Source organism: Homo sapiens, chromosome 14, assembly GCF_000001405.40.
Source record: "Homo sapiens chromosome 14, GRCh38.p14 Primary Assembly".
Lineage (NCBI taxonomy): Eukaryota > Metazoa > Chordata > Mammalia > Primates > Hominidae > Homo > Homo sapiens.
Window position 1 is genome coordinate 81,602,515 of NC_000014.9, and position 21,627 is coordinate 81,624,141.

The 21,627-nt window shown below is 42.1% G+C and overlaps 1 long non-coding RNA gene across 1 annotated transcript, besides 1 other annotated feature; it reads right to left on the bottom strand.

Moving 5' to 3' along the window:
• Positions 1–2,832: 2,832 nt before the first annotated feature.
• On the bottom strand, positions 2,833–20,547 carry LINC01467 (long intergenic non-protein coding RNA 1467). Its single transcript, NR_110074.1, has 3 exons — positions 20,139–20,547; positions 4,618–5,187; positions 2,833–3,040 (listed from the first exon to the last, which is right to left on the bottom strand). It is a non-coding gene; the product is annotated as a long intergenic non-protein coding RNA 1467 (long non-coding RNA).
• Positions 10,803–11,578: an enhancer, noted in NCBI's record as "OCT4-NANOG-H3K27ac hESC enhancer chr14:82079661-82080436 (GRCh37/hg19 assembly coordinates)". NCBI's record gives its function as "activates a minimal SCP1, AML or CMV promoter by ChIP-STARR-seq in naive H9 embryonic stem cells {active_cell/tissue: H9 hESC(naive)}" and the evidence as "EXISTENCE:reporter gene assay evidence [ECO:0000049][PMID:30033119]".
• Positions 20,548–21,627: the final 1,080 nt, after the last annotated feature.

The following is a 21,627-nucleotide window of genomic DNA, read 5'->3' on the forward strand; positions in this document are numbered from 1 at the left end:
GAAGTTTTCACCATGTTGGCCAGGCTGGTCTCGAATTCCTGACCTCAGGTGATCCGCCCACCTCGGCCTTCCAAAGTGCTGGGATTACAGGTGTGAGCCACCGCGCCCAGCCTGTCTGTTCTTAATGTACAGTCTAAAACTGACTCAATAGATTTATCCGTTAAACTGATTCCTTTTCCCAATTTCCCAGTGTGGGGCTGATTCTATTCCAACTCCTCTTTCTCCTCATAAAGTTGTAGACATATTCCAATAACCCTCCATATTTCCTCCATTTCATAGTTCTAATTAGTTACTAACTTCTTCTGACCTTTGTTCTCACAGACTCATCCTTTCCTCTCCATTCCAACAACCATCTCCACTGCTTGATTGCCATCATCTAACTGGTAGGTATCTTTAGATTTTTCTAACACCTAATCAATATTTTGTCAGTTAACATGTTATAAAATAACATTTAATCACTTTTTTTTCCTCCTTCAAGGGGAGGTAGCTTCTTAAAACAGTGGTTTTTTCAATCCTGACTGTACATTAAGAACAGACAGGCTGGGCGCAGTGGCTCACACCTGTAATCCCAGCACTTTGGAAGGCCAAGGTGGGCGGATCACCTGAGGTCAGGAGTTTGAGACCAGCCTGGCCAACATGGTGAAACCCCGTCTCTACTAAAACTACAAAAATTAGCCGAGCATGATGGTGCATTCCTGTAATCCCAGCTATTTGGGAGGGTGAGGCAGTAGAATCACTTGAACCCGGGAGGTGGAGGTTGCAGTGAGCTGAGATCACGCCATTGCACTCCAGTTTGGGTGACAGAGTGAAACGCCGTCTCAAAACAAACAACTACCAAACAAAAACAAACAAACAGAAGTTCCATACCGTACCAAACAGTCTTTGTGAGTGGGATCCAGATACGTTTATTTTTGAACAGCTTCCCCAGGTGATTCTATATATAACCAGAGCTGAGAACCATCATCAGATCAAGCCAAACTTCTGTTAGTCTGATAGTCAAGGCTATCAACTTACTGGTCCCATAAATGGAGAACTCTTTTCAATGTTTCTCAAACTTCTTTGATAAGACTAACATGTAAGTGCTTGATAAATCTCATCTTCTCTTGGCTCTATCTCAGGATGTCTCAAAGCCCTTTACTGTACAGCTTTGCAGACAGTGGCTAGGTTTTTCCAGTCACAGTCTATACATACATCTTCTACTTCAGTGTCTAAACAATGTCAGGAAAATTATCCAAACTTAGAAATAAACAAAAGAGATTACAGCATATTTAAGCCCTGGTCTTGGCTTGACTTTCTATCCACGGGTCTGTTTTACAACTCCAGTTCTCTAAGGGATGGGTCTGGGAAGTTGCAGGTCACTCAAGTGCCCCAGGTGATTCTTATGTTTAGGGATGGTGGGAACTGTCTGCAAAGTATCTTGCAGCTTATCAAATTTTGATGTGTCTACTAATCACCGGCAGATCTTGTTGATGTACAGGATTCTGACTGAGTAGGTCAGGGAGCGGGTGCTGCTGTCTGCAGATCTAACAAAGTTCTAGGTACTGCTAGTGGTTGTCAGTCCATGTGCCACACTTGAGTAGCTGCAAATGCCCATTGAAATCACCTGGGGAGCTGCAGCAACTACTGTGGCTTTTGTGCCATCCCTGGAGATTCTAATTTAATTAGTATGGGTGCAGCTTGGGGATCAGGAGTTTAAAAAGCTCCCCAGGTGAAAGCAATTTGCTGCCATGGCTGAGAACCAATGTTGTATAGCTCTATCTCTGTGCCTACTTTTAATGTCATGCTGTTCTTCCTATTTGGATACTTCTTCTTTTTCATCTTCATTAAACTACACCCTATAAGTTCTACCAAGCTCTGAAGACGACTTCCTTTTCCAAGATGACTTCCTTCCTTAGCCCAGCTTATACTACCTCTCCCCTTTGATTTATTTTAGCATAAATGCATACAATTTATACTACATTACCTGATAACTTATAGGTGCCTTTTAAGATATAAATGTTTCTGGCCGGGGGTGGTGGCTCATGCCTGTAATCCCAGCACTTTGAAAGGCTGAGGTGGGTGGATCACCTGAGCTCAGGAGTTCGAGACCAGCCTGGCCAACATGGTGAAACCATGTCTCTACTAAAAATACAAAAATTAGCTGGGCATGGTGGCGGGTGCCTGTAGTCCCAGCTACTGGGGGGCTGAGGCAGGAGGATCGCTTGAACCCAGGAGGCGGAGGTTGCAGTGAGCAGAGATCACGCCATTGCACTCCAGCCTGGGTGACAGAGTGAGACTCTGTCTCAAAAAAAAAAAAAAAAAAAGAATGTTTCCAAGTTGTGTAGTCTGAAACTTTGAGGTAAGGCTTTTCAGACAGTGACTACGTTTTTCCAGTCACTGTCTATGCATACATCTTCTACTTCAGTGTCTAAACAATGTCAGGAAAATTATTGAAACTTGGAAATAAACAAAAGGGATTACAGCATGGTTAAGCCCTGGTCTTGGCTTGACTTTATATTGACTGGACTATTTTACAATTCTGTAGGGGCATAGGTTAATTTGTTAATTTTGTCCAGTAGAGATGCAAATAATACCTGTCTCTTGGAAGTGCTAACCCCAAAGGTTATGGTAAGACATTAGTCAATTTCATATGTAACCCAGCAATCTTATTCTAACATTTGTTTATTAAAATGGCTATATATACCTCACTTGTTCCTTCATTAATTAATGAGTTGAATAAAACCTTTGGCATATCATTCACATGACAGTCCTGATTTTACCTTTTTAAAAATGTTTTAAAATGCTGAAATGCTTACGTAGGAGTTTAATCAATGCATTGTGAAATTAATTGAATTGATGAAGCAAGTGATAAAGTTTTATTTCTGAAGAGACAATACGTCTTGCAAGTTTAAAACAGAATAATCAATAAATGAAATAACACGTGAAAAACCCTAAGTAGTAATAATTTCAGACAGGAAGAAGCCATGCTGATTTGGATGTTCTTAGTCACGGATTATGAGGGTAATCACTCAACAGACATCTTCAGCTGCTTTTCTCCTTCCTGTGCATTTAATCAATGAAAACAGAGGTTCAGAATGATATGCTAATAGTGGGAGGAACCACAGCAATGGAATCAAACAATCAGTTCAAATCTTGGCTCTGCCCCTAGTAGCTGTTCTCTGTAAATTGGAGTTAATAAATCCCTATGAGAAGTGGCTGGTATATAACGGGTGCTCAATAAATGTTAGTACTCTTCCTCATGAGCATCTCAGAGGATAAGAGGTGGACAACTGCAGCCTAGATTGAAAACCTGAGTTATGGAGAAAGAGTTAAAATGACTTAATACTGTTTATATAGGGCCATAAAAACACCATCTGCTAGCTCTAGCTAGTTAAGTTATTACAAAGCTGACATGCACTAATGCTGCACTGATAGGAAAGGAATGGCCAAGGTTTTGCTGTTTCTATCATTATTCGACGAGCTGCCATGTCGGGACCAGTCGCCAGTTTAACCCATCACATAACCTGGTTGTTCAACGTTTAAAGATTTATTTTGGTCCTTAAATATTTATACTCTCCCCCAACCTTTTATTGCTATAGTTACTGCTGCAGAAAAGACAAGACTCAGGAGGTTACTGTATGGTATATCAGCAGTTCTAGGCTTTATCGTTAGATTGGGGTATGTTTTATGTTGAATTAGACTCAGATGAGTGGATTAATATTAAACTCTCATTTTGCATGATGAGGCTAGATGTGCCTCAGAGAAAAGGATAAGGTCTATTCCTTTTCATATTATCAGTCAGTGAAGAAAAGGCCGCTTGCTCTGCAATGCACATTGCTGAGCCAGAAGTGAATAGCAGCAGATTCTGGATCTTGGAGGGGGGCAGTTTGCCTCCAATAAAGTGTGCAGCTGAAGATTGTCCCAGTGGTAGAAGTGAGCTCAATGATTGCTCCTGCTGCCTCTCATAACACCTGCATTTGGATCCTTGGTACCCATTAGGCATAATGATGGGCTGATTCCACATCCCTGGGACATTTGGCCTCATTTGGATGATTAAAGAGAATGAAATATATGTCCCAGACACCTGCCAACTTGCAATAATAATAGCCTGTATTTACATAATATCTTTCTCTAAGAATCTCAAAGTCCCTTGTCTTTGAAAATCTATTTCTGTTAGGGAGGGGGAGATAATCTCATTTCTGTTTTGCAGAGTTTTAGAGCCATGGTAAAATCTAAATATTTGGTCATTTTAGTAACTATTCTGTGTCCAAAACTTTGCTGCATATTGAAACCAACTGCACATCTGTAACAAATATGGATACCCAGCTCCTATGCCTAGGCATTCTCATCTAATTGCTCTGGGGTTGGGGGTGGGGGATCACCTGGGCATCAGGATTTGTAAAAGCTCCTTAAGTAATACGAACGTACAGAAAAGCCTGGGGACCACATAGGTAAAGACATTTGGTCTGAGACATTTCTGTGAAGTATTAGCAGTAGGAAACATTCACATGGCCGAGCTGTTAGAATTACGCTTCCCCACTGGGTTCTTCATCCTTTTTGCTGTTTTCATTCTGGACCAACTCTATTAATAAGGAAGACAGACATTTAAAATATAGCTCAATGCCAGAATTCTCTCACCTTCAGCCAATAGTAGGTTAGGTCAGATCATTATCTTCCTGTAGGAACTGTACTTTGGTGAAGTAATCTAGAGAGAAGATAATTAAATCAACATATAACTGTAGTTTTAAAAGATGACAAGAAAAAAGTCATCTCCTGGGAACTCTATATACAGCTGTGTGTGTAGCAAATATTTAGGAAATAGCGTTCCATTCAGTAAACTGGTGTTTTAAGGAGGGAAAATGTAAAAAGCCTTTTAGTGACAGTGGGGAAAGGATTCTACAAGTCATGCATGAGTTTAACAGGGGGTTGTGGTGGTATGGCTGGGGGGCTTTTATCCTTAAGCTTATTTGTTGTTCCTGGACTTTCACAAAGATGTTCAAGCATGGCAGAGGGTTGGAAAAGCCAAGAAGCAACCAGTATGTCCCTGCATTACTGCTGGTGATTCAGCTATGACTTCTGGTGTGGGACCAACTTCCCTTGAAAATATATGGATTTGATGGTGACAATTACAGGGCTGTTTTCTGGAAGCAGCTGTTGCCTGCAGGGAGTAAGACTGGCTTCTCAGATGTTGAGCTGCCTTTCCATCTGCTGAAAGGAAGAGAAAACAGAAGTCAAAACCAGAACAACTACAGAAAGTGGGACCTGCACAGAAACAATAGAAAAGAGAGGAGATGATGGGAGAGAAGGCAATAAAACCTTAATTAGTTACCAGGAAGAGTTCATTCTCTTAGTGTCTTTGGCACTAAAGATAAAAGTCATGTCCTCCACCGCCACTAATGGAAAGGAAATGAAGTGATGAGAAGATGCATTAGGGAACCCTGGATTTGGGCCAGCTCACTGGCTCCATGGGCCCCTGGAAGACCCTAGAGTCCATGACTCCCTGACTGTGTCTCAAGTGAACAGTTACCTCCTTGCTAAAGCCCCTTTGGTGCCCCTAAGTGTTAGAATATTTTCAAATTAATTCTGGAAGCATGAGACATCCACGGACATTTAGAATATCTGAGCAATTCTCAGCAGACATTAGGTGAGTTTGTCTTAGGGCGTCTTAGTTTCCCAGGGCTGCCCTAACAAATTACCACAAATTGGGTGGCTTAAAACAACAGAAATTTATTCTCTTGCGATTCTGGAGGCTAGAAGTCTAAAGTTAAGGTGTCAGTGGGGTCGTGCTCTCTCAGAAGGCTCTAGGAAAGAATCCTTCCTTGCCTTATCCCGGAGGTGGCTCCTGGCGATCTCTGACATTCTGTGGCTTGGAGCTACATCACTCCGGTCTTCGCCTTCATCACTCTCTTCCATGTGTGTTTTCTTGTGTCTTCTCTTCTCATATGCACCAGTCTATAGATTTAGGGCTCACCTTAAATTCATGAACACTTCATTTTGACACTCTTGCCTAATAATATCTAAAAAAACCCAAAACTGTTTCTGGCCAGGTGCGGTGGCTCACACCTGTAATCCTAGCACTTTGGGAGGCTAAGGCAGGCAGATCACCTGAGGTCAGGAGTTCAAGACCAGCCTGGGCAACATGGTGAAACCCTGTCTCTACTAAAAATACAAAAATTAGCCGGGCGTGGTGGTACACACCTGTAATCCCAGCTACTCAGGAGGCCAAGGCATGAGAATCACTTGAACCCGTGAGGCAGAGGTTGCAGTGAGCCCAGATCACCCCACTGCACTCCAGCCTGGGCAACAGAGCAAGACTTGTCTCAAAAGAAAAAAAAAAGACTATTTCTAAATAAGGTCACAGTCTAAGGTTCCAAATGAACATTAATTTGTTGGAGGGGGGCAGACACTATTCAGCTCACTACAAAGAGAAGAATACAATAGAAAGAAAGATTGATGTATGGATTGAGAGCAGGGGCTAGAGCTGTGACTAACATTGGTTGTTCATTAGAAACACCTGGGCAAGGGCAGCCTTTAAAATCTCTATCCTGGCCCCAAATCCAGATATTCTCATTTAATCAGTCTGGAGTGGGTCCTGATTAACATAAACACTCTTAGGGGCCAAGCATCATACGGTATATGGATGAAGGATAAAGAGGGTTGGTCTAAAAGGTAATAAGGAGGAATGGTGACTCAGGGGGCGGGAGGAGCCTGGAAACCCACATGCAACATTAAGAAGCATTCAGATTTGATTTTGTAACGTCTCCTGAAGAAAATGGGTTTGCGGGCTTTGAAAGACAAGTTGCCAGTTTGAGATGCCAAGTCTAGACTTGTAGGAATTCTTCTGTAATATCTTGGATCTGTGAAAATGGTAACCTAGCCCAAAAATGCACATGGTGATAATGACACAGAATATGTGGGATGAATTCTGAACTGAAAAATCTAGAATGTGGAATTGACTTACCTAAGAGGACCCTATGAATGAATGTTCCTACTCAGGAACTAGGTCATGTTCTAAGTCTCTTTTGCCCAGTTGTACATACGCTATGCTCTGGAGTGATTCTGCCATATTGTCGGGTTCTATTCTGGGCGCCTGTTGGACACTGTTCTCCATACAAAAATTCAGGACATTTTTCTAAAGCCGAAGCATCTCCTTTTTTTTTTTTTTTTTTTTTTTTTTTGGAGACAGAGTTTTGCTTTTTTGTCCAGTCTGGAGTGCAGTGGCATGATCTCAGCTCACTGCAACCTCTGCCCCCGAGGGTTCAAGTGATTCTCCCACCTTAGCCTCCCAAATAGCTGGGAATATAGGCGCTCGCCACCACGCCTGGATAATTTTTGTATTTTTAGTAGAGATGGGGTTTTGCCATGTTGGCCAGGCTGGTCTCAAACCCCTGACCTCAGGTGATCCACCTACTTCAGCCTCCCAGAGTGCTAGGATTACAGGCATGAGCCACCATGCCCAGCCAAGCATATCTACTTCTAAAAGAGCTAACTCACTGCCCAGTATCCCTTTTTAATAGTGAGATCTAGATTAGTACTTAGCCTTGTCACTTAGTAGTTGCATGACCTTGGGCAGGTTACTTATCCTTGTTTTACAGATGAGTTTATTAATATCTACCTTAATGGGTTATTATCAGGATTAGATTGTTATGAGGTCTAATAAACATTCTTTTTCTCTGTCTCTTCTCCATCCCAGATGATGAATCTGTTTTTTTTTTTTTACCAAATAAACACTATAGATTATTGAATGACATATGCTACTGTTATTTATGTTTTAAATAGCAATGAAATTATAATGGTACTAAATAGCTGACATTTTCTGAGTACTTTATATGTGCTGAAAACTTAAAAATATTTTGGCACATATAATTTCATTATCACAATGATTCTATTACCTCATTGTAAAGGGAGATAAATAATGTATATAATGTGTAGTAGATACATAAATGATATATATTTATATAAATGATATAAATAACATATGTAACTTATATAATGTATCCTTCTTAACAAATGAAGAAATTGCAACTCAGAGACAAGAAGAAATTTACCTAAGGGTGCACAGCTCTTTTGACCTAAAAATTGCACATTATCCACTATACTTTACAGTTCTCCCAACTCACTTGTGTCCTATGTGAGGACAGGGGCCTATGCCAGGCAGGGCCAGTGACCAACTCATGGCTGCCTTTCAAAAAGTCCTTGTAAACACTTAGAACTGTGTCTTCTAAAAGCCCAAATTGAAATGAATGAGCCCTCAAGAGTGCTCAGTCTTTGTTTGTATTTACAAATATTGTGTCAACATTGTCATTTTAGAGTGTGAATTATAAAAAATGATTGTTAATTAAAAAACTAAAACAGGTAACATTCCTTTAGTGTTTCATGAGAAAGAACAGTTTCATGAGAAAGCCTCGTCATTCCTGATATGTTTTTAGGCTATTTATATAAGTAGAGCCAAAGAATCTATAGATCCACAGAGTTGGAGAACCATTAAGAAAGGGGATAAAAGAATACAAAAGGGGCGTCACCTTTCAGGGATTAAAGTAAATCAGTTTTGAAATCTTGGCATAAAGCTTTATAACCCAGGTATTGACATATAAAATGTCATATTATGTTTTTATAGTCATATAATAGGTAATAAAAATACCCAGGCTGTCCCTGGCACATGGTAGGTGCTCAGCAGGGGTCTGTATCTCTAAATTGATTAAAAGGAAATTAGGAATGAATAATGCTTTACATAACTCCCAAAATAAATACATCAAGCAGGATGTGGAGTTAGGGGGACAGACCCCAAAAAGATACAAGCAGAAACAAATAAAACTAATTGTATTGTAACTGTAATATTTTCATTGCCTGTTGCACACAGCAAGTCAGTATACTGAGACACTGGATTTGCAGCAGAGAAAGATGTTTGATCATGAGGTCGCAGAACAAAGAGATGGGAAAAGACCTCAAATCCATCTCCCTGATGAGTTTGGGGCTAGGGTCTTTAAGGGCTTTGGAGTGGGCCAAAGTATGGAGATTGTTGATTGGTTAAAGAGTACAGGGTAGGCTGGGCACGGTGGCTCATGCCTGTAATCCCAGCACTTTGGGAAGCTGAGGTGGGAGGATCACCTGAGGTTGGGAGTTCAAGACCAGCCTGACCAACATGGAGAAACCCCATCTCTACTAAAAATACAAAAATAGCCCGGCGTGGTGGCGCGTGAATGTAATCGCAGTTACTCAGGAGGCTGAGGCAGGAGAGTCACTTGAACTCAGGAGGTGGAGGTTGCGGTGAGCTGAGATTGCACCATTGCACCCCAGCCTGGGCAACAAGAGCGAAACTCTGTCTCAAAAAAAAAAAAAAAAAAAAAAGAAAAGAAAGGAAAAAAAAAAGGGTACAGGGTAAAGTCATGGCACAGGGAGATGAAGAAGCTGTATTCTCATGCTGATCTTCCTCCTCTGTGAGGGTCTTCAAACTGGTTGCTGGAATTCAGGGTCTGAGAAACATCTTAAGCAATCTTTAACCAAAAGCCTATGATTCTAATGTCTGTAGGAAAAATCCTGTCTATAGGAAAAACGTGGATGCAAATTATTCTAGTTATAACTATATTTCTGTCCAGAATCCAGTGTGCAATTTCTGTCCACCTTGTGGGGGTGGTTTCAGTATTACAAATGAACAACATAACCACACTGAAGGGTGAAGGGTTCCCCTTGACCCTCTGAAGATTTGCCCCCCCAAAAACAATCAACTTGCAAAAGGCAGATTAATATGAGAAAAGTATTACAGTAGGTAGTCAGGCAGACATGAGCAGGGCAGGAGAGGCCCCCATTTCCCAGGAACTACAGGCAACCATCAGGTGATGTTCAGGCAGTTGTTAATTTCTCAAATAATAAGTGGTTGCAGCCAGCACTGGGAAAGGCAGTCTCCCAACTGATAGAAACACCTGAAACTGCTGATCAGCAGCTTCCCAATAAGATCTCAGGAATTGGGTGAGTGGGCTCACAGATGCAGATTAAGAGGGAAAATGGCAGAGTTCAACTGGTATATGACTTTCTAAGAACATAACACTGGTAAGGGAAGAATGCCTCAAGTGAGCATGCATACAACTCCAGTAAACATATGCCCCGCCCCAAGTGCTGGCAGGCCACCATGCAAACAAACAGCCCACCCCAAAAGAAGAATCAGGGGAAGAGTAATGCAGACCCTGGAAAATGCCAACATGTAAAACCCCAAGTCAAAAGTCAAAGTGTGCACTTGATCTCTCAAGTGGTCGGCCCTCTTCCAAGTGTACTTCCTTTCATTCTTGGTCTAAAGCTTTCTAATAATAAACTTTCACCTCTGCTCTTGCCACCATCTCTCACTCTGTCTTATGCCCTTTGGTCAAATTCTTTCTTCTGAGGGGCAAGAATTGAGGTTCACTGCCGGTAACAAAAGGGCAGGGCATGGTGGCTCATGCCTGTAGTCCTATCACTTCGGGAGGCTGAGGAGGGCGGATTGCTTGAGCTTATGAGTTCAAGACCAGCCTGGGAAACATGGTGAAACCCTGTCTCTAAAAAAAAACACAACAATAATAAAGTTGGGCATGGTGGCATGCCCCTGTCGTCCCAGCTACTCCGGTGGCTGAGGATTGCTCGAGCCCAGGAGGTTGAAGATGTAGTGAGCTGTAGTCATGCCACTGCACTCCAGCCCAAGTGACAGAGCAAGACTGGGTCTTAAAAAAAAAAATTAAGAGAAAAGGCATACAAATTTATTTAGCATGTATACATGGGAGCCTTTAGACTGAAGACCTAACCCCCTTGTATTAGTCCGTTTTCACACTGCTATAAAAAACTTCCCTGAGACTGGGTAATTTACAAAGGAAAGCGGTTTAATTGACTCACAGTTTCGTATGGCTGGGAGGCCTCAGTAAACTTACAATCATGGTGGGAGGTGAAAGGCAAGCAAGCACCATCTTCACAAGGTGGCAGGAGAAACAGCATGCATGCGTGCAAAGTGGGAAAGAGGCCCTTATAAAACAATCAGATCTTGTGAGAACACACTCCCTATCACGAGAACAGCATGGGGGAACTGCCCCCATGATCTAATCACCTTCCACCAAGTCCCTCCCTCAACACCTGGGGATTACAATTCCAGATAAGATTTGGGTGCCAAACACAGAGCCAAACCATATCACCCCCCAGTGAGATACAGAAGCTTATACATCATTTTAAGTTTACAGAAAGAATGTGTACTCAGGGCATGGCCAAGAACAAGTTATGAAAGTAAATCAAATTTTAGCCATAAGACAGGTTATAGGAGAGAGAAACGAAGAGTCTTGGCTAGCAAAGGTCGTCTTGTTATGCAGATGAAACTTCACAGGTAGGAGTCATTAGAGATAATAGATGGTAAATGTTTCTTTCAGACCCTTAAAGGTGTCAGACTTAGTTAATCTTTCTTAGATCCGGATTGGAGAAGAGCTGACTGGATTAATGGAAATTCTCTACAGTTGAAAATTTCCACCACAGAAGACAGCTTTGCAGGACAACTTCAGTTGGCTGGCCCTGTGGCAGTCATCTCAAAAGATGTCAAAGAAATACATTTTAGGATAAAATATTTTGATTTCTTTCAAGGGGATGCAGAAAACATGAACTAACTTAGGTAACTTTGGGAAACAGCATTTTGACTGGATGCTATAAGGCTAAAATGGAAAGAAGGTGTGTCCGGAATAGGTTCCTTCCGGTGGGTTCTTGGTCTTGTTGACTTTAAGAATGAAGCCACGGACCCTCGCGGTGTTACAGTTCTTAAAGATGGTGTGTCTGGAGTTTGTTCCTTCAGATGCTCAGATGTGTCCAGAGTTTCTTCCTTCTGGTGGGTTCGTGGTCTCACTGACTTCAGGAGTGAAGCTGCAGACTTTCACAGTGAATGTTACAGCTCATAAAGGTAGTGTGGACCCAAAGCGTAAGCAGCAGCAAGATTTATTGTGAGGAGCAAAAGAACGAAGCCACAACGTGGAAGGGGACCCGAGCATGTTGCCGCTGCTGGCTCGGGTGGCCAGCTTTTATTCCCTTATTCGGCCCCACCCACATCCTGCTGATTGGTCCATTTTACAGAGTGCTGATTGGTGTGTTTACAATCCTTTAGCTAGACACAGAGTGCTGATTAGTGCGATTTTACAGAATGCTTATTGGTGCATTTACAATCCTTTAGCTAGACACAAAAGTTCTCCAAGTCCCCATCTGACCCAGAAGCTCAGCTGGCTTCACCTCTCAAAGGCACATGCATACTGTACTCTAGTTAATACATCTTTTTGTCAGTGTTGTTTAGCAATTTTGTAGTGAAACACTATTCTAGGACTGAACAAAAAAGTGACTATATTGTAGATAACAAAAGCCAAGTTTCTCACTGTTGGAAAAAGAAATTATATCTAAGAAAAGGGGACAGAATCGACCTTGTAGTGCTGGAATGGAATTGGAAGTATCAGTATGTACTCATGGTTTCTAATATGTACATATATAAGTTGATAAATAAATATAAATGGGTATATATGCATGAATTAGTATATAACATATATTTTCCTACTATGTCTGCTTAAACGTCCAGGGAACAATGATACTCTGTAGCAATGAGGACTCATATCTTGGTTTCTAAATCTCATTCTTTGACAAAAGAAATTGTAACCACCAGACAGGTTCTTCTTGCCTGTTGCACAGACAAGAGCTGATTTATCAAGACGGGGGAACTGCAAGAGAAAAAGAGTTTAATTCATGCAGAGCCAGCTGTACAGGAGACCAGAGGTTTGTTATTACTCAAATCAGTGTCCCTGAAAACTCAGGGATTGGAGATTTTTTTTTTGAGATGGAGTCTCACTCTGTCACCCAGGGCTGGAGTGCAATGGCACAGTCTCAGCTCACTGCAACCTCTGCCTCCTGGGTTCAAGAGATTCTCCCGCCTAAGCCTCCAAGTAGCTGGGACTACAAGCATGTGCCATCACACCAGGCTAATTTTTGTATTTTTAGTAGAGACGAGGTTTCACTGTGTTGGCCAGGCTGGTCTCGAACTCCTGACCTCATGATCCGCCCCCGCTCCCCTGCCCCCACCCGCCAGCCTCCCAAAGTGCTAGGATTATAGGCATGAGCCACTACGCCTGGTTAGGGATCAGAGTTTTTAAGGCCAATTTGGTGGATAGGGAGGTGGATAGGGAGTTGGAAAGTGGAGAGTGCTGATTGGTTGGGTTGGAGATAAAATCATAGGGAGTTGAAGCTCTTCTCCTGCACTGAGCCAGTTCTTGGGTGGGAGTCACAAGACTAGATAAGCCAGTTTATTGATCTGGGTGGTACCAGCTGATCCATCAAGCACAGGGTCTGCAAAATATCTCAAGCACTGATCTTAGATTTTACAATAGTGATGTTATCCCAAGGAGCAATTTGGGGAGGTTCAGAATCTTGCAGCTTCTAGCCACATGATTCCTAAACCACAATTTCTACTCTTGTGGCTAATTTGTTAATTCTGCAAAGGCAGTTTTGTCCCCAGGCAGGAAGGGGGTTTGCTTTGGGAAAGGACTGTTACCATCTTTGTTTCAAAGTTAAGTTCCTCCCAAAGTTAATTCAGTCTGTGCCCAGGAATGAAAAAGGACCACTTGGAGGTGAGAAGCAAGATGGAGTCAGTTAGGTCAGATCTCTTTCACTGTCATAATTTTCTTAGTTATAATTTTTTGCCAAAGGTGGTTTCAAAATTATGGTTCCTTGTTTGAGAAATGATTGATTCTAAGGCTGGGGCACAAAAATACAAAATGAGCCTGGAGCATCTTACAGTATCAGAAAGTAAAGAAGTTCTAAAAATATAATAAAAAAGATGAGGCAGTGTCAAAAAGAAGCCATCCTAAAAGAGCTCCCAACAGCTAAAGTGGACAATTTGAGCAACATAATAGGTAACAATAATATTCAAACTGCTTTTGCAAAATTATGACAGTAAGAAAAATCTGACAAAGCTGACTCCAACTTGCTTCTAACCTCTAAGCTGTTCTTGTTCATTCCTGGGCATAGGCCAAGCTAACTTTGGGAGAACTTTATAGTTTAAGCTTAAATCAAGAAGGATAATAGCAATTTCCAAAACTACCCCCTTATTTCTTGGGTTTGAAAACATCTTTATTGGCTGGGCACAGTGGCTCATGCCTGTAATCCCAGCACTTTGGGAGGCCGAGGTGGGTGGATCACCAGAGGTCAAGAGTTCGAGACCAGCCTGGCTCACAGGGTGAAACCCCATCTCTACTAAAAATACAAAAATTAGCTGGGCCTGGCGGCAGGCGCCTGTAATCCCAGCTACTCGGGAGGCTGAGGCAGGAGAATCGCTTGAACCCAGAGGGCGGAGGTTTCAGTGAACTGAGATCGTGCCACTGCACTACAGGCTGGGCGACAGAATGAGACTCCATCTCAAAAAAGAAATCACCTTTATAACACTAATAAAAGGCCGCAGGATTAGGATTATGGGAGGGGCATGAACTCTGCTGAGATGCAAGCATAGTTAGAAGATATCAAGCCATTGTAGCCAGAAGACATGAAATTTGTAAACTCCTCGAGTGCTCCTATAGATACCATCACTACTGTAAAACTTAAAATTGGTGTTTGAGATATTTTCCAGACCCTTCATTCTGATGAACGAACTGGCACCACCTGGACTGGTACCCTATACGGAGAAACTGGCTCAGCTTGTCTTGTGATCTCACCCAAGTTGTCAGTTGTCCAAATTAGGGGAAGCTGAATAAAGAAAATACTAGAACTCTGTATTATTTTTGTAATATTTTTATAAATTTAAAATTACTTTACAATAAAATATTAAGAAATATTAATGGGATACCTGGATATCAGTAGAATAAGCAGTAGGATGGGAGTCTATTACTCAAATCAGCCTCCCTAAGAATATTTTATTTTAAAACAGAATTTTATTTTAAAATATTGGAGTATGAACCACTTTTATTCTTTTTCCTCTTAAAAACAGTAGAATATTTTGATTAAAATAAAAAAATGAAAAAGAACTATTAAAAATACCATTAAGAATAGAAGGTTTTAAGAATCAAAATAAAGATGAAAGATTCAACATCTAATACACAATATTTACCAGGCATTAGACATTTTTTTCATCTTTGTTGTAAAGATGTTTGTCTTAAATGGTATAATGTATGTAAAAATGCTTTGAAAGACATAGAACATGCTATAAATATCACTTTCTTATAATCCTCATCTTCTTGTTCATGCAATCATTTACTAGAACTAATTTTGCTTAATTTTTAAGGTGTTGCAGAGAAAAATTATAGGAACCTTGGTTTAAGACAGAGCTGCCTGTCATATAGTAGCTGCACAATAAATATATATTTAGTAAATTGAATGAATGAACATGAATGAGTCTAGATTCTTTCACTTACTTGCTTTGTCATCTTTAGAAGTTGTTTAACCCACTGAAGAGTTTTTTTTTTCTTATATATGAAACAAGGGTAATATCACCTGCTTTGAAGGGTTACTCCGAGGGTAAGTGATAGGAATGTCTGTCCTACGTCAGTGTCTGGCACTTAGTCATTGCCATAATCTTCATTCTCTTCATTGTCATTGTTATCCTTATCCTCAGTTTTTATTCTCTATTCTCTTCAGCTGCTTTCTTTCTTTCCCTTGGATTAAAATACTGTATCGCTCCATCTTCCCTTTGTCAAAAACCTTATCTGTGCTGTAAGGCCCCTCTCATGCAGTCTTTCTCCACCAAATCCCATCATCTTTCATTCCTGCCTTTCCTGTGGTTTATGATGACATGCACAGATGCATGTATGTGTTTCTGTGTGAAGGTATATTTGACTTAATCCTCTTTTACACTGTAAATTCCTTGGGATACCATTTTTTTCTTATCCGTTAGTCTACCACCTGCCACATAGTAAATGTTAAACCATGAACCTGCAATGAAAGGCAGACCATGTCTTTGTGACTTAGTATTATTTCTCCTGAGCTGACTCTTGTGTCAGGCATATAGTAGGCATTCAATCAATATGGGATTCAATAAATAGTAAGTAGCCAGTAGGCAAAAGTCTTTTGAATGTTGAATCATTTTTGTATCCTTTTTATTTGTTCAGAGCAACAGAGGGCATATTGCTGGACAGAGGGCTGTTCTATCCCTCCTAATTTCTGTTAATATAAATTCATTCTTATATTATATATTATTGGAATATATTATATATATTATATTGGAACAGCTATGTTCACTATTGTCTGAAGAGCAATATTCAAATACCCCTGTGACTTAATCCTCACTTCCTACTCAGCTTCAATTCCCACCACACCTTGAACCTTAGCGTGCACCTCAAGTCCCAATTCATTGGATTGTTTACAAATTCCCGGAGAAACTCTGAACTCCTATTACATAAGCCTTGGCTCATGTGTTTCTTTTGTCTGGAACATTTTCCCTCCCATTCTTGCCTGACACCTTCTGGTCACCTTCGTAGGCAGCTTAAAGGGTACCTCAATGAATCCCTGATGTCCTTCTCTTCTTTCCTGTTCTGCAGCTAATTGCTTGTTGCTTTAACCAGCCTCTATTTTATCCTTACTTACTAATACAAGGCAGCTGTTTATTTGCTTATATCTTTTCTAGAATAGAGGTTCTTATACTTCAATGTACATAGGAATCACCGAGACAACTTATCAAAAATGCAGATTCCTGAAATGCAGCCCCCACCTGGGCTTGTCACCATCACCGTGTTGGTCCAAGTGAAATTCAGGAGTTAATAATGAAGGTTCCCAGGGCCCATCTCAAATGCAGGGAATGAGGATCTCTGAGGAGAGGATCTTCATTTGTAACAAACATCTTTGAATTGCACTTGGAGCAGTCCCAGGACAGCGATGAGCATGCTTGGTCACCAGAACCTCATGAAGTCTTGCCCTTGTGGGCCTACAATCAATGAAAGGGACATATATGAACATCTTTATGTCAAGCAACAAAATTACGACTCAGGTCTTTGCCAAGTGGAAAAGGATTTCCAAACACTTGAGGAGCGGAGGGAAGTCATTTTGTGGAGAAATGGGAGACAGGCCCCAAGCCCAAGTGAACCTCAGCCTCACTTCATTAGCAGAAGCTGCTGTGCATCTCCTGTCTCATTCTACTTAGAAAATAAGAGGACTCATTCAGGTCACATGGTTAATAGGAAGGCTAATATAGGTGGCAGTAACTGATGATTTACTAGATCAAAGTCCTTTAAGCCAGGCAATAGAGATGACCCTTGCTTATTGATTATCATCCAATAGCTTTAATTTATCCTCAGTATCCTTGGGGACAGACAGAGATTGCTGGTTAGGAAAGGGGCTTTAAGAAGGTCGATAAGTTATTCTCGAAGAAGTTATAGGCATCAAGCCTGGGCATGCACCTTCCTTCCTTTCAAGTGCGCTTACAAGGAGAGGGGAAATGAAATGGGCTTCTAATTATTTAAATTGGACCTACACTCTGCTGAGCAGTGCATTAGCTAGCATTCTTCCTCCATGCGAGCTGTCGGTTAGGCCAGGAGAAGGAGATTAAACATGTCAGCAATAGGTGTGGAAATAATTGGGGGCAGTAATTGGGAGAAATCCGGGCGCCTGATTGTGACTGCTGTCTAGTTCTCTCTTTCAAAATCTAAATTCACATTAACGTGTTGATGACCTCATCCAAGCTGGATGGATGGAATTTATTAACAATAGAAATAATTACAAAAGGACTTGCATTTAAATAATCAAATGACAAGCCACAACCTCAAAACACTCCTCTAGAGTTACAAAGTGAATACGATTCCTGTTTCTATACAAAAGCCCCTTATTTCTTAGTTTTAAAAAATGTATTTGTTATTCTTTCCCAGTTGTATTCAGGGGTAGTTCTCGTGTCTGCTTTTCCAATTTGGTAGCTTCGATTTACCCCACAGCTGGAATTTTTTGGGTGGCAACAAATATCTTTACAGGTTGTTTGAGAATGTTTGGTATATTTTCCATTGTGTAGGTATTCAACAAAAGTTAGTTTAATCTGAATTTTATTTCCCTAAATAAAATTCTTTTTTTTAAGTTCAAAGATAATTAACTATTTATTCAAATACCAATGAATGTGTAGGTTGTGTGTGTGTAGGGGTGTAGTTTATGAACACACTAAGTGGAAATTAGCAGTCATGAACGACCATTGATGTCTTAAATAAAAAAGTTTACCTAGGCAGGGTGCAGTGGCTCATGCCTATAATCCCATCAGTGTGGGAAGCTGAGGTGGCAGGATCCCTTGAACCCAGAAGTTTGAGATCAGCCTGGGCAACATAGGAAGACTTTGTCTCTACCCAAAAAAAAAAAAAAAAAAAAAATTATCCAGGTATAATGGCATGCACCTGTGGTCCCAACTACCGGGAGGCTGAGGTAGGAGGATCGCTTAAATCTGGGAGATTGAGGCTGCAGTGAGCCGTGACTGTGCCAATGCACTCCACCTCTCCAGCCTGGGTGACATAGCAAAACCCTGTCTCAAAAATAAACATTACCACATATATAGTTATAAAAAAACTATATAAGCTATATATCTATACACACACACACACATACACACATATATATATATATAAAATTCTGTTGCCCAGGCTTGAGTGCAGTGGCGTGATCTTGGCTCATTTTAACTTCTGCATCCCATATTCGAGCGATTCTCCTGCCTCAGCCTCCTGAGTAGCTGGGATTACAGGTGCATGCCACCACACTCAGCTCATTTTTTTTGTATTTTTAGTAGAGACAGGGTTTCACCATGTTGGCCAGGCTGGTCTCGAACTCCTGACCTCAAGTGATCTGACCGCCTTGGCCTCCCAAAGTGCTGGGATTACAGGTGTAAGCCACTGGATCCAGCCTTTTCACTTCAAGGCTCAGAATTCTCCCCTTTTGAAATTTCGTTCAGTGAGGAAATTGATACCAATAATTTGCACTTTTAAAAGTATTTAAAATGATATCTAACATGAATTTAAAAATCTATCTTGTGTTATAGAAATTGAAGCATTTTGCATTCAAAAAGAGGCATTATTTTGGGGACTGGGAGAATCTTCCTAGCTAAAAGATTATGGAGGGTGTATTCGCCTATCTCACTTGTGGGCATGGTGCCCTTGCCTTTTTGGCGAAGGCAGGAAGGGAATATTTCAGCCTGATGCTAACAATGACGCTATCTTACATTGGCTTGGCACTCTCTAGTTATCTAAAGTTGAGTTTGCATCGATGATCTCATTAGAACCTTCCATCAGTCCTAGCAGGAAGTCAGGGCTAATATTTTAGCCTTGTTTGGCTGCAGAGGAAATGAGGTTCAGAGAGAGTGTGATTGGTCGAAAGTCGAATTGTGGAACTGGGACTATGATCTTTCCAAAATAAGCCAGCCCTGCCCTCTTCTTCCTTCCTCTCTTGCTCCCTTTCTGCACTAAACCTCTACCACGTGCCATACAGTGTGCAGGCACCAGGAATTTCCATGAGCTTCCCTTGAACCTTGCATATAAAGCAAAGTTCCTCTGAAGGGACCTATAGTAAACTAAAGAGGAGTAAACACAAAATCAATTAAGGGCACCAAAGTGTTAGAGAGACTGTGTTACAAATATTTACAGAAAGTAGTGTGAGAAGACAAGGGGAGTATTAATCAATTGCATATGGGACTAAGGGAAGTGGGACAGTGATGCATTAGGAAAAGCTTCATGAGACAGTAAAGTTCCAGCAAAGTTTAAAGTAAGAACAGCCACCAGACAGACCTGGAATTAGCCTTTTTGCAAAGTGCATTTCCATGAGAAACTGTGCAGGGGATACATGGCCAAATAATAGCATGCACTATGGTATATCGGAAATTCCTAATTCTTTTTGGGGATTTGAGTACCCCAGGAAGCCCTTCAAAAAGAAATGTTTAACTTTTGTGATCTAGCCAACATGTGGGATTATAGAGCTTTAAATACAAAATTTTAGAGAAAAACTAAGATTTTAAGTAACGTAATGTATTATGTAACTCTGGAAAGGACTAGCTTACAGCTTACGTCCACTTGCAGGCAGATCTTAGCAGGCTGCTGAGATTTGCCTGTGGAAAGTGCAAAAGTGAAGTGCAGTGGAGACCAGGCCCACTCAGATGGGTAATAAACCTTAAACCAGATAAACTAGAACACTGACACTGTTGCTGTCTTACATATAAAACATTGAGCCAACCCAAGAAAGGGACTCACGGTCCAAACGTGTCCGGAATTGGGTTCTTGGTCTTACTGACTTCAAGAATAAAGCCGCGGACCCTTGCGTTGTTACAGTTCTTAAAGGCGGCATGTCCAGAGTTTGTTCCTTCTGATGTTGGGATGTGTTCCGAGTTTTTTCCTTCTGGTGGGTTCATGGTCTGGCTGGCTCAGGAGTGAAGCTGAAGACCTTGGCAGTGAGTGTTACAGCTCTTAAGGCTGCGTGTCTGGAGTTGTTCCTTCTTCCTGGTGGGTTCGTGGTCTTTGCTGGCTTCAGGAGTGAAGCTGCAGACCTTTGTGGTGAGTGTTACAGCTCATAAACACAGTGTAAACGCAGCGTGGACCCAAAGAGTGAGCAGCAGCAAGATTCATTGCAAAGAGCAAAAGAACTAAAGCTTCCACACTGGGGAAGGATACCCGAACAAGTTGCCACTGTTGGCTCACGCAGCCTGCTTTTATTATCTTATCTGGCCCCACCCACATCCTGCTGATTGGTCCATTTTACAGAGAGCCGATTGGTCTGTTTTACAGAGAGCTGATTGGTCCATTTTGACAGGGTGCCGATTGGTGTGTTCACAATCCCTGAGCTAGACACAAAAGTTATCCACATCCCCACTAGATTAGCTAGATACAGAGTGTCCATTGGTGTATTTACAAACCCTGAGCTAGGCACAGGGTGCTGATTGGTGCATTTACAAACCTTGAGCTAGATGCAGAGTGCCAATTGGTGCATTCACAACCCCTTAGCTAGACATAAAGATTCTCCAAGTCCCCACCAGATTAGCTAGACACAAAGCGCTCATTGTTGCATTTACAAACCTTGAGCTAGACACAGAGTGCCCATTGGTGCATTCACAATCCCTTAGCTAGACATAAAGATTCTCCAAGTCCCCACCAGATTAGCTAGATACAGAGTGCCCATTGGTGCATCCACAAACCCCAAACTAGACACAGGGTGCTGATTGGTGTTTACAAACCTTGAGCTAGACACAGAGTGCTGATTGGTGCACTCACAATCCCTTAGCTAGACACAAAGGTTTTCCAAGTCCCCACTAGACTCAGGAGCCCAGCTGGCCTCACCCAGTGGATCTTGCACAGTGCCACAGGTGGAGCTGCCCGCTAGTCTCCCGCCGTGCGCCCGCACTCCTCAGCCCTTAGGCGGTCGGCGGTGCTCCTCCGGGAGGCTCAGGCCGCGCAGGAGCCCACGGCGGGGCGGGGGAGACTCAGTTATGGCGGGCTGCAGGTCCCAAGCCCTGCCCAGCGGGGAGGCAGCTAAGGCCGGGCGAGAAATCGAGCGCAGCGCCGGTGGGCCAGCACTGCTGGGGGACCGGGCGCACCCTCCGCAGCTGCTGGCCTGGATGCTAAGCCCCTCACTGCCCGGGGCGGCAGGGCTGGCCGGCCGCTCCGAGTGCGGGGCCGCCAAGCCCACGCCCACCCGGAACTCTAGCTGGCCCGCAAGCGCCACGCGCAGCCCCGGTTCCCGCCCGTG